This window comes from Homo sapiens, chromosome 12 (assembly GCF_000001405.40).
Source record: "Homo sapiens chromosome 12, GRCh38.p14 Primary Assembly".
NCBI classification, from domain to species: domain Eukaryota; kingdom Metazoa; phylum Chordata; class Mammalia; order Primates; family Hominidae; genus Homo; species Homo sapiens.
The window spans coordinates 5,036,173-5,048,806 of NC_000012.12; the positions used below are offsets into that span (position 1 = coordinate 5,036,173).

The 12,634-nt window shown below is 48.7% G+C and overlaps 1 protein-coding gene across 1 annotated transcript; it reads left to right on the forward strand.

The window, feature by feature from the left end:
* Positions 7,707 to 10,616, forward strand: KCNA5 (potassium voltage-gated channel subfamily A member 5). Its single transcript, NM_002234.4, has one exon. The coding sequence runs from the start codon at positions 7,976 to 7,978 to the stop codon at positions 9,815 to 9,817; it is 1,842 nt and encodes a 613-aa protein (NP_002225.2). The 5' UTR covers positions 7,707 to 7,975; the 3' UTR covers positions 9,818 to 10,616.

Genomic DNA, 12,634 nt, shown 5'->3' on the forward strand with positions numbered 1-12,634 from the left:
GCTGAGATAATTGCCCTTCCCCAGATTACTGTCTTTATCAGGGAAAGAAATGATTGCTATGTGTGAGAAATCACACTGTCTCTTGCTCCATGAGAAGTGGCAGTGATTAATGAGAGACCAGGCTTCCAATTTGCAAATATTCCATGCATGCACCGGACTTCAGGAGTAGAAAGACAGCTTTCAGAGAATAAGCAAACACGATAAACTCTTCCTCCACAGACCTGGAGACTGAGGCACCTCGTGGTATGACTCAGTCTTTAGTATCACCTTTCATCTTCCTGGAAGTCCGGGTCTAAATTTTTATGACTTGATGCTATTGGCTGCTTGGGGTCTTTTTCTCTGCATCAGAGAGTTTGCCTGCTGGTGAGACCACTGGACCCCACAGATCTGGGTTTTAAGCCAGGGTCTTAGGTTGTTCAGCCTCTGTTCTTCCTCGAGAGCAAATCTCCAAATGTTTGCTGACAGTAAAATGTAATGATTTGACTAGCTGATCTCTTAGGTCTCTTGCGTCTCTGGAAGCCTCATCCTATGAGTCTCCCAGCATACTTTAGAGGGACAAAAAACAGTGTGGTAGCAGAATAATGGTCCTCCAAAGATGTCCACATCCTGATCCCTGGAACATGTGGACATGTTACCACATGGCAGAAGGGATTTGGCAGATGTAGTTAAAATAAGGATCTTAAAATGGAAATTATCTTGAATTATATAGATGGAACAAATGTAGTCACAAGGGTTCTTAAAAGCTAGAAGAGGGAGGCTGGAGAGTCAGAGAAGGAGAGGTGACAAAGGAAGCAGAGGTCAGAGTGATGCAGTTGCTGGCTTTGATGATGGAGGAGGGGGCCATGAGCCAAGGAATATGGGTGACCTCTAGAAGCTGGAAAAGGCAAAGACACAAATTCTCCCCTGAAGTCTCCCAAAGGAACCAGCCCTGCTGACACCTTGACTTTAGCCCAGAGAGACCTGTTTGGGACTTACGACCTCTAGAATTGCAAGATAAAAATTTTGTGTTGTTTTAAGCTACTAAGTTTGTGGCAGTTCGTTACAGCAGCAATTGGAAAACTGATATTACCAGGAAGGCCTGGACCAGATGATGAGGGTCTCTTACTGTGACACCGACCACTTAGGGTATCTGCCATGCTGAGGCTAAGACCCAAGGAAACAATTTGCCTCACTTTCCACTAAGCTAGAAGATCATGGCCACATCATTGGGTGAACAAAAATAGAGGCCACTAATTACCCCAGTGGTCACTGTAGACAATTAATACAGATAATTTGGGGACTATGCATGTACTTGTCAGCTGTTAAATTTCACAGACTAACTAGCATTAACAATACCAAGTATAATAATTGAGTACATATATTCCACCAGAGCTTTAATACTTAGAGCAACTGCAAGAGGTGGGTACTAGTAGTGTCTAATTTACAGATAGAGAAACTGAGTCGTAGAGATGCTGAGTGTCACATGAGTAAGGCATATTGCTGGAACTCTGGCTAGGTCTACCCCAGTCCAGATCCCAAACTCTTATCTAAGAGAATTTTTCTCCCCGCCCCAGAATTCCTTATGCACCATGGCACCCAGTAAAAGAATCAGCCCTGTAGGGCAATGTTCTAAAACTTTGACAGGCATCAAAATCACCCAGAGAACTTGTAGAAACAAATTCCTGGGCCCAGTCTCCAGATGTTCTAATTCAGTAGGTCTGGGGATGGGATTAGGAAATTGCATTTCTGATACATTTATAGGTGACCTTGATACTGCTGATCCATGGACTGCATTTTGACTAGCAGGCCTCTGGAAGCCATTCCATCCCAGCCCCCAGGTCCGGTTACATCCAAACCGTGGTGGAGCCTTAATCCCATTCCGTGACTAAACCAACTTTTTGCCAAATCGAAATAAAGAGAACTTATTTTGATAGGACATTGGGAAAAATGGGTGCAAAGGCTCATATTACGCACATCTTTGTCTGCCTGGACTGCGGGAATTGTGTCGCAACCACTTGATTTTTCCCGCCTTAGAAGGGATGTTGCTTACATAATAATAAAATCGTCTTACATTTGCTTAGCATTTTTAAAATAAAGTACTTTAAAAACTATGTCTTGATACATAAGTTGAATTCATAAATATATCTTTATACAATGTGGACAATAATCTAGCCAGAAAAGACATATATTCAGTTGAATATACTTTATATTCAAAAGTAGTTAATGAATGCCTTCCTTGGTCTGGGCACCTAAGCAGAGAGTTAGAAAATAAGAGTTGCAGTTGTTTTGAGGACACAGAAAACAATTCAAACAACGTCTAGCCCTAAACTACAAATGAAGCCGTTGGTTCATAATTTCACAGTTAGGTTTTCATGTTATGGGAGTAGAAACCTTTGAGATGTCTGAGGGAGGAAAAGATGGACAAGAGAAAAAGAGAGTCTGAGAGAGGGTGACAATGCACCTGTAACCCACCAGCCTGCCCGTGGAGGAGGGAAGGGAAGGAAAGGAGAGAGAGAAGAGCAGCACTCACAGGGCAAGCTGTCCCTTGAACCCCCAGCCCCTGTGTGTTTAGGATGCTTTATTTTCTATGTCTGGCCTTTGAAAATGCACTGGATTTAATGAATCCATTAATGAATTTATTCCTGGATTATACCTAGAGAGGGAGAGAGGAAAAGAAGAAATCAAGCTCCAGATGGGAGCCTTGATTTGTGTGAATGGGCTCTCATATTAATCTTTCTAAACAGGAAATCCTAGTAGCCCTCGGAGGTCTCTGTCAGGATCTGGGTCGGTTTAAGCATAATCTCCTGCTCTCCCGCAACCCTTCGCCTCCTTCCTGCCCCCCCTCCCCCTCCTGCTTCCATCTCTTAACATGCAAGTGACCAGCCACCTGTCCCCAGCACAGGCATGCATGTTTTGTTTTTGTGTTTTGTTTTACTCCATCTTTGTCACTCCCATCAAACAGGAAAGGAAGGTCATTTCCAGGGCTTCCTTCCCAAGGTGTTGGATTGAGGGGCCAGTGAGAAGGGAAGGGGAGGGAAGGGAAGAACAGCTGCCTCCTTCATTAAAGTGTTTTTGTTTTTTTGGGTTTTTTTTTTCTGCAGATCTATGAGGCTAATGCATCCAGGATAGAGGATTAGGTGAGAGACAGCTTCAGTCTTTTGCTGATTAATACACTATTACCAATTATTGCTTGACAATCCATCTTTGCCATGCATTATGGAATAGTGATGTACCATGGAATTACAGACTCTGTGATATTTGGCAGTAAGACCCAGTCTACCAAGGACCTGTTAATCAAGTTCTCCTTATTTATGTATGTATGTATTTATTTATTTTTAAAGAAAGGTGCCTTAGTATGGTTTATTTTGACCAAGCTGTCTTCTCTTTGGCTCTTGCTGGTCCAGCCTAAGAAGTCCTGAGCCCTTGTTTCCCACTTCCAATGCCTCCATGTTGAGACCTGAGGTGACTATAGCTCTGTTTATTATATGAGTAACACATAGATGCTTCCTGTATCTATGAACCCCCTGCACCACAAAGGAGGAAAATCAATGTCTGACAGAAAGACTACTGGCATAATTTTTGCCTCCCTCTGTCCCTTTAAATGCTTTAGATGATGAAAGATGCTGGCCAAGGAATGGTGGGGAGGTTGGAGAAAACAAGTTTTCTCTAATCTGGGGCTGACAGCCTCCCTTGTGGAGAAGATACAATGCTGGTTTTGCTCAATTTTCTTTTTTAATGGAGGGAAAACTTGGGGAAGTCAGGCACAGGTGTAATGGGGGTAAGTTGGAATAACTGGTTTACCAGAGGAATAAAAAAGAAGCTGGAAAAGCAGCTCCGAGCGCACTTCTCTTACTCAAGCTCTCTGGACCATGCCTGGGTTTCCTGGTGGAGCCCTGCCAGAGCTGGCTAGGGATGCTTTAGAGATGTGGTCTTTTCAGCAGCAACCTCTCTTCCTCTTGAAAGAAAGGAGCAGAGGGATCCTGAGCCCCGAGACTTGGACAGACAGACTGGCTAGTATTTTTACCTGGCTGGCAGGGTGTGTCAGACAAGGCCACTGCTAGGATCCTGTCCTCACATTGGGCTTCCTGCATCTATGAACTCCCTGCACCACAGAGGAGTAAAATCAATGTCTGACAGAAAGACTAGTGGCATATTTTCTGCCTCCCTCTGTCCCTTTAAATGCTGTCCAATGGGGAAAGTTTTTCCCTGACCTAGTTGAAAATCCAGCAGGTCTCCTTGTTTTGTGTTACTCATATAATAAACAGAGCTATAGTCACCTCAGGTCTCAAACACAAGAAATTAAGCCATACAGTCCAAAATATGAAATTGTTGCTTTTTGCCCACAAAGTTGAAGTGGTCTGTGATAATGCAGTGGTATATAACCCGAACAAATGGTTATAAGTCTTCAGATGGTTAGGTCCCATCTCTACAACCACTTTGCGTACTTAGCTAATCTCAGAAACCACCTTTCAGTTCCTATTCCCAGGTTTCCCCTCCCTCGCTGCTCCAACAGCTGAATTTCCTTCCCCTAGTTCAATTGCGTTCAGTACATATTTAGTGAAATGCATAATATGGACGTGGCACCATGTTTGGTGTTGTGAAGAAAATCAAAGATCAATAAAAAATGTTCCTTGAGTTCAAAATATCTCTCTCTCTCTGTTAGCTCTCTCCCTCTCTCTCATCTACCTACCTATCATTTATAAATAGATAAATAGGTAACTAGAGAGTAGCTAGCTAGAAAGGTAGGTAGGTAAATAGATAGATAGATTGATGGATAGACAGATATAGTGTGGTAGATACCATTTGCAGATGCGATAGCTAGATAGCTAGATACATACATGCATACATACACAGAGATAAAAATCTATTCTTATGGGAATGTGATCTCTAGACAGGTGCATCAGTATCACCTGGGCGCTGTGTGAAATGCACTCTAAGCCCTACCCTGGTTCAGAGTCTGCATGTTAACAAGATCCTCAGGCAATGGTGCACATTAAGCACTGCTATAAAAGAGTTAACCTCGTAGGATTAGATAGTAAAGAAGGCAGCTTTCAGTTATACAATGTGTGCTCTGGGAAGAAGACAGAGATCGAGGTAGGAGTGTAAGAGGTTTACTGGGAGATAATAAAGAAAGTTAAAAGTGATAGGAAGAAGAATTCATTAGGGAAAGCATTCAGATTATGATGCTGATCTGGCACTTGTGAAAGGAAGGAGGGGAGGAAGAGGGGTTGGACAGAGTCTCAGAGTGGAATGTAGATCTTTCAAAGTCTTGGCCAATCTGCTGGGGAAATGCAGAGCAAAGATTGCCATTAGTGGAAATCTGCACTGAGTAGAAATGGCCAGGTCTTTGTAACCCTGCTGTGCTCAGAGGGCTACCCCAAAGGAGTGTGGCCCCTGCACTAAAGCTGAGGCAGTGCCAACAGCTGGAGCCTGTCAGCTAACTGCACTCTGGCAGTTGAAAAGCAAATTCTTTCTTTAAGGGAGATTTGAGCAGTATACCTCCATGGCTACCACATGTGACATCTGAAGGTAATTTTGCCAGAAACCTATAAGAACTGGCAAATGCATGGGAAACAGATTTAAGGAAATACCACATTAAAGGAGGCCTGGGTTTTGTGCTTTTCCTGGACTGTTTATGTTGTACTCTTATTCTTCAGGGAACAATCTCCCAGAAAGCCCCTGAAAGACAAGCTCCAGAGAATTCTTTCCTCTGGGGAGCCCGAGGAGAACCCAGGTGAACCAATGTAGCATCCTTATATTTACAAGATGCATGAATCAGTAGACAAGACTGTCATGGGTCTCTGACCTCACTGTCTGCAAGCTCAGTAAGTCCCAGGCTCCCCAGGAAAAATACCTGATCCTGACTGGCAACCTCAGAGCCAGAGAAGAATGAAAGCCCACTGGAGATGAAGCAGGGATGGCACAGATATGGGGAAAGGGGATGCAAGGCCCTGTGGTTAACCAGTGATGCCTTCACATACTGATTTTCATGTTCATACCCTTCCTCACTCATGCACGTCTGCAAAGACAGCCAACAATATGCACAGTCACACAGAATGAAAATACTTACGCACACCAAATTCACATCCACCTTCACATATAAACTCTTAAAAAGCCATATGCACACATACTTCTCAAACCTTGACCCAAGTTTGTGTGTCTATGCGCTGCTATTGCAACACACACTTGTGCACCCAGGACCAAGTTTCCAAATCACACCCTTTGGATAGAGACATTCATTGACAAGAGGTCCTAACTTCACGCATATAAATCTGAAGCAATATGCAGAAACAAAAATAGACAATGAAAACAGACATTCAAAAACACAGCCACTTTATGATAATTTAAAACCAAGAAACTTCTGGAGACTGTGTCTGGCAGTTCCAGACACACACCTTGAAACAGATTCCTCTTGGTTACCAATGCCTGCTAAAACCCTGCAGGGGTTGAGACAGGGCAGGGGAAGATTTCCTAGTGTCCCAACCTAGAAAGATTAATATGTTATATCAGCCATCATCCTGCCTTCTGCAGCAGGGAACTAAAGTTCTCAGGCCAGATGTTGGAGTGAGGGAGTGCTTGTATCAGGAAAAGGGATTATGCATTTCTATAGAGGAGTGAAATATAGGGGACAAGGGCCAAACTCTGATTGTTTGAGTTTGAGTTCCAGCATCATCAGTTTCCACCTGCATAAGCCTGGGTGAGTCTGTCAATCTCTCTGTGCCTCAGTTTCTTCATTTATAAAATGGTGATGATAATAGTACTTACAAAATAGGTTGCTGTAGGAATACACAGAGACAATATTTGTAAAGTGCTGAGAGTGGGCTGGTGCATAATGAGAGCCAAGTAAGTATTGGTTGTTATTATTCCATTCTTGGGAATGCTCCAGCCTTGGAGATTGGACAACCTCCCTGGCTCCCTCTCATAAGCCACCTCCACCCTCAGTCTCCTTCATGGACCTAGATGCAGTTGCTCGGTCCAAGATTCACCAGGCAGGATTAGCCCTCACCAGGATTGTAAAAATCGCTTCTCCCCTTCCCTGCTGTGGTTTTTGCAAATGGGATTCGTTGGAGCGGGTGGAGGGGTTCTGCTGGGTTGAGACCAGACAGCTCATCTCCTGACTAGGCTGCTTGCCTGGGCTGCCACCAGGTCTGTACTGGAAACAGGCTAGGGCATGGGAATCCTGCAGGGTTCCAACCCCCTTGTACATTTTTGTGGATCTGTAGGAAGACGGGAAGAGAGATGCTTCTCCATTGATACATGTATTTCAAGGTCCGTAACTACGTGGCCCCCCTCCCTTCTGTAATCCTTCCCAAAGAAATACCGTTATTTCTCCAAAATAAAAAGGACTGGTGTCTCCCGTCTCTGTCTCTCATACTCCGACTCAGCTCAAAGCCTCGTCCCTTTAGCCCAAGGCACTTCGTTCCTCCTGGAGTCCACTCGGCTTCCAGCGGGTTCCCAGGTGAACTGAAATCCAGAGCTATTCTCATCTGGTTGCCCTGGGAATTTCAGCGCTGTCGGTACAACCTGTTCCTCCATCCTCCCCACTCCTTCCCTCCCTCCGCTGGGCTGCACCCTTCTCAGCCCCTCCTTTCCCTTGCTAGGGGCCCCAGCTGCGCCCTCCGGGGAGACACCCGCTGCCACGAGACCCGGGAGGGGAAGCGGGAGGAGGGGGAGAGGAGGGGAAGGCGGGGGAGGCGCCGAGGGTGGAGGCCAAGCGCGGCGCAGCCAGAGAGGGGCGGCTGAAGGTTGCATCTGCTGGAAGGAGGCTTTTCGGCTGCTTGGTAACGGGCTGCCAGAAGAGAGAGAGGCAGAGAGCAGGGCAGCGGCTTCTTGACGTCAGGGCCAAGCGAGGGGATCGCGCCAGCAACCCCAGCTCTCCCCAGAGAGGGGCCGGCCGACCGCTGGAGCGGAGCCTGACGCCAGGCGCCCGCGGAGCGTGAGTAGGGGGCGCGGGAGCCGGTCAGCTGGGGCGCAGCATGCCCTCTGCTCCCGCGCCATGGAGATCGCCCTGGTGCCCCTGGAGAACGGCGGTGCCATGACCGTCAGAGGAGGCGATGAGGCCCGGGCAGGCTGCGGCCAGGCCACAGGGGGAGAGCTCCAGTGTCCCCCGACGGCTGGGCTCAGCGATGGGCCCAAGGAGCCGGCGCCAAAGGGGCGCGGCGCGCAGAGAGACGCGGACTCGGGAGTGCGGCCCTTGCCTCCGCTGCCGGACCCGGGAGTGCGGCCCTTGCCTCCGCTGCCAGAGGAGCTGCCACGGCCTCGACGGCCGCCTCCCGAGGACGAGGAGGAAGAAGGCGATCCCGGCCTGGGCACGGTGGAGGACCAGGCTCTGGGCACGGCGTCCCTGCACCACCAGCGCGTCCACATCAACATCTCCGGGCTGCGCTTTGAGACGCAGCTGGGCACCCTGGCGCAGTTCCCCAACACACTCCTGGGGGACCCCGCCAAGCGCCTGCGCTACTTCGACCCCCTGAGGAACGAGTACTTCTTCGACCGCAACCGGCCCAGCTTCGACGGTATCCTCTACTACTACCAGTCCGGGGGCCGCCTGCGGAGGCCGGTCAACGTCTCCCTGGACGTGTTCGCGGACGAGATACGCTTCTACCAGCTGGGGGACGAGGCCATGGAGCGCTTCCGCGAGGATGAGGGCTTCATTAAAGAAGAGGAGAAGCCCCTGCCCCGCAACGAGTTCCAGCGCCAGGTGTGGCTTATCTTCGAGTATCCGGAGAGCTCTGGGTCCGCGCGGGCCATCGCCATCGTCTCGGTCTTGGTTATCCTCATCTCCATCATCACCTTCTGCTTGGAGACCCTGCCTGAGTTCAGGGATGAACGTGAGCTGCTCCGCCACCCTCCGGCGCCCCACCAGCCTCCCGCGCCCGCCCCTGGGGCCAACGGCAGCGGGGTCATGGCCCCGCCCTCTGGCCCTACGGTGGCACCGCTCCTGCCCAGGACCCTGGCCGACCCCTTCTTCATCGTGGAGACCACGTGCGTCATCTGGTTCACCTTCGAGCTGCTCGTGCGCTTCTTCGCCTGCCCCAGCAAGGCAGGGTTCTCCCGGAACATCATGAACATCATCGATGTGGTGGCCATCTTCCCCTACTTCATCACCCTGGGCACCGAACTGGCAGAGCAGCAGCCAGGGGGTGGAGGAGGCGGCCAGAATGGGCAGCAGGCCATGTCCCTGGCCATCCTCCGAGTCATCCGCCTGGTCCGGGTGTTCCGCATCTTCAAGCTCTCCCGCCACTCCAAGGGGCTGCAGATCCTGGGCAAGACCTTGCAGGCCTCCATGAGGGAGCTGGGGCTGCTCATCTTCTTCCTCTTCATCGGGGTCATCCTCTTCTCCAGTGCCGTCTACTTCGCAGAGGCTGACAACCAGGGAACCCATTTCTCTAGCATCCCTGACGCCTTCTGGTGGGCAGTGGTCACCATGACCACTGTGGGCTACGGGGACATGAGGCCCATCACTGTTGGGGGCAAGATCGTGGGCTCGCTGTGTGCCATCGCCGGGGTCCTCACCATTGCCCTGCCTGTGCCCGTCATCGTCTCCAACTTCAACTACTTCTACCACCGGGAAACGGATCACGAGGAGCCGGCAGTCCTTAAGGAAGAGCAGGGCACTCAGAGCCAGGGGCCGGGGCTGGACAGAGGAGTCCAGCGGAAGGTCAGCGGGAGCAGGGGATCCTTCTGCAAGGCTGGGGGGACCCTGGAGAATGCAGACAGTGCCCGAAGGGGCAGCTGCCCCCTAGAGAAGTGTAACGTCAAGGCCAAGAGCAACGTGGACTTGCGGAGGTCCCTTTATGCCCTCTGCCTGGACACCAGCCGGGAAACAGATTTGTGAAAGGAGATTCAGGCAGACTGGTGGCAGTGGAGTAGGGAATGGGAGGCTTGCTGAACATGGATATCTACATTATACCGCAGAGTATTTGAAGTCACACTGTAACCTCAGTCTACCCCTCTCCTTTCACTCCTTTCCTCCCTCCCTCGATCCCCCCATTTTCTCTATTCTTTCCATGACACCCAAGGGTCGCCTATTTTTAAAAAGTACCACATTCCATGACGCAGGAGCTGTGGAAATGGTGAGCGCTGTGAGATGGATGTATTTGTAGCCAGTCTCCTATACCCAGCAGAGGGATAACCCAAACAAAAATGACTCTAAATAGCCCAGATCCCAAGAGATTATGTAACTCCTCCATCCATGTGTTCCAAATTTGCTTTACATATGATTGTATTTGTGTATAGGGGAAAATATTATTTTTATGCCTGGTAAGTGGCTTTTTGTACTGTAGTTCAGATAGAGATATTTTGGGTATATTTTCAAGATACATGTTGTATTTATGGAAGAAAGAGTTGTCCTGATGTTTTTCTGTGTTACTTATATTAGAGTCAGAGATCTTGGTATGGGCTGTTCTGTTTCCTGTGTCTCCAAGCCTCTGTCTTTTCTGGGATGTGGTATTGGTGCTTTGTGTCTAGGGCAGAGTATGTTCTTGAAGAAAGGCAAATCTGACTTTTTCTGTGCGCCTTAAACAATTCTTGTAACTTTCTTCAAAAAGCATTTTAATGATATTGGAGGAATACTTCTGATAATTTATTGTCTTTATTTTTATCCCAGGAAATAAAAGGTTACCTTGTTGAGGCAAGTGTTAGTTTTTCTGCAGCTGATACATTTTCTGAAATTTTTAAAAATAGTCTGTCACTGGCTGTTTCTGGTTTTGACATCAGAGCAAACGCATTGACTGGGGTTAGAGGAAATCTGAAAAGCTCATGATTTGCTTGGCGACGTCTTTTCAGTGCACCCCTTGGTGCCTCATAGACAATGGTGGGTGAATTTTGTCCAGGCTGTTTATGGCACGGACGCCCCTGTGAGATGCTCTCTGAAGCAGTAGTATCAGCCCTTATGGTCAGCCTGGAGTAGGGAGGGCACTTAAAGGAAAAAGGGGATCAGACCCCTGACAGTCTTATTGGGTCTCCCGGCACTGGCTTTCATTCCTTTGTTTGCAGGTTTTCAGCCCTCCTCAGGGTGGCTCTCAGCAGCTCTGAGAAAAGCAAGCCTGATTCTCACAGACATGAAGCAGTCCTGGCAGCCCCAGTGTGCGAGTCACAGAGGGACCTGCACCGGTTGTTCACTGCCCTCTTGGCATGGCAGAGGAGCACGTAATGTCTTTATGGCAACAGCAACAGTGAGAGGCCAAATGGAAGGATTTGCTTGTTCACATTAAGAGCTGTTTTCTGCAGATTGTGGCCTTGCCCCCAAGTAATCCCTAAACTCAGAACAAATCTCCTTGTTCCCTTGTCACTGGAAGGCTGCGGCAAAACATTGCAGTTGGCATAACACTAGCTAGCATTTCTCTCTGGGATTAGCTATCTGCTGATAGGAATCCGGAGCCCCACGGATTCCTGCTGTTGCTTTTTCTGCTGAATGATCCAAAGCTGGGGCTGTTTTACATCCTCACCAGGGTGGGCTGGTGGGCTGGAATCACACCTCCCCCAGGACAACAGTGGGCTTCACGGCTAGTTCTCAGGGTGTGGTCAGGTCTCCCTGTGGGTGAGAGGAGATCTATAAGTCAATGCCTGGGAATTGTGGGTTTAAATAAAATGGCCAGCACGGTAAGGAAAGCCGGGGTCTGCGAGTGCCCAAAGTCATTTCTAGCCAGAAGCTTTTAACACCAAATCTGAGGAGGAAACAGAAGGATTGTGCAGACAGGGCTCTGTTGATTTTCATTGCATGCTAAGGCAAAGGAAGAAGAACAGAGACACTTTATTTATTTATAATTTACAATCTGCCTAAAAGCAGGGCATCTTGCCAGAGCTCAACTGTACACGGTCTCACCTCCAAGCCCTCTCTGCCTTTAAAGCTAATGTTTGCAGTTTAGCACACACCTAGTGATTGGGACGGGGAAATCACCCTTAGGGCTCCAGCTTTCCTTAAAAACAAGCGATGTCACCACCTTTGACCTGAAGGTTTATTCCTTTAGGCTCAAGCAAATACCGAGAGAGAAGCCCCCCAGGCTTCCATGTCCAGGCTTCCATGTGTCCAGGTGCCTGACAAGATGTTGGTTCAATTAGAATGGACTGCATCTTTAAAATGTCCAGTAAACGGGCATAATCTTGTAGAAATCCTCAAGGATAGAGAGGAGGGAGTGAGAGAGTGAGGCTCCCTGTAATTTTTTTTTTGGGGGGAGGATATTGTGAAGCGGGTTTCCAAAAGGGACCAGAGTGATTCCAGAGGGAACCCTGGAGTCCAGCATCTCAGTTCCCTGTTGTAGCCTTCAGTCCTGGGGACCAGTGATGTGTGAGATCTGTCCTGGAGCACTGGTTGGGGGGGCACCCACTAGGCAGTTCAGAGTATTTCCGTCTCGCCATATTCTCAGTGCACCTGTTTCTGTGATTCTGGAAACAGCCTCCACTATTGCACTCCAGCCAACCTGCTTTGCCTTTTGATGTAATTAGCAGGGAAGGGCTCTGAGAGTCAAGACTCTTCCCCAGGCTACCTGAGGTAAAGAGCCCTTTCCTGTCCCCTCCCACCCTCCCCAGCTTCTCTGCTGTTATGATTTCCATAGCCTTTACCTTCCTGAGGAGATTAAATCAAGGAGCCTCTGCCAAGCCTTTTATCCAGATGTTTCTTCTTGGTTCCCATGGGAGGAGACCACTCCTGAGT

Excerpts from the sequence above, each read along its gene's own strand:
- KCNA5 (NM_002234.4), top strand. The coding sequence starts at position 7,976 with ATGGAGATCGCCCTGGTGCCCCTGGAGAACGGCGGTGCCATGACCGTC.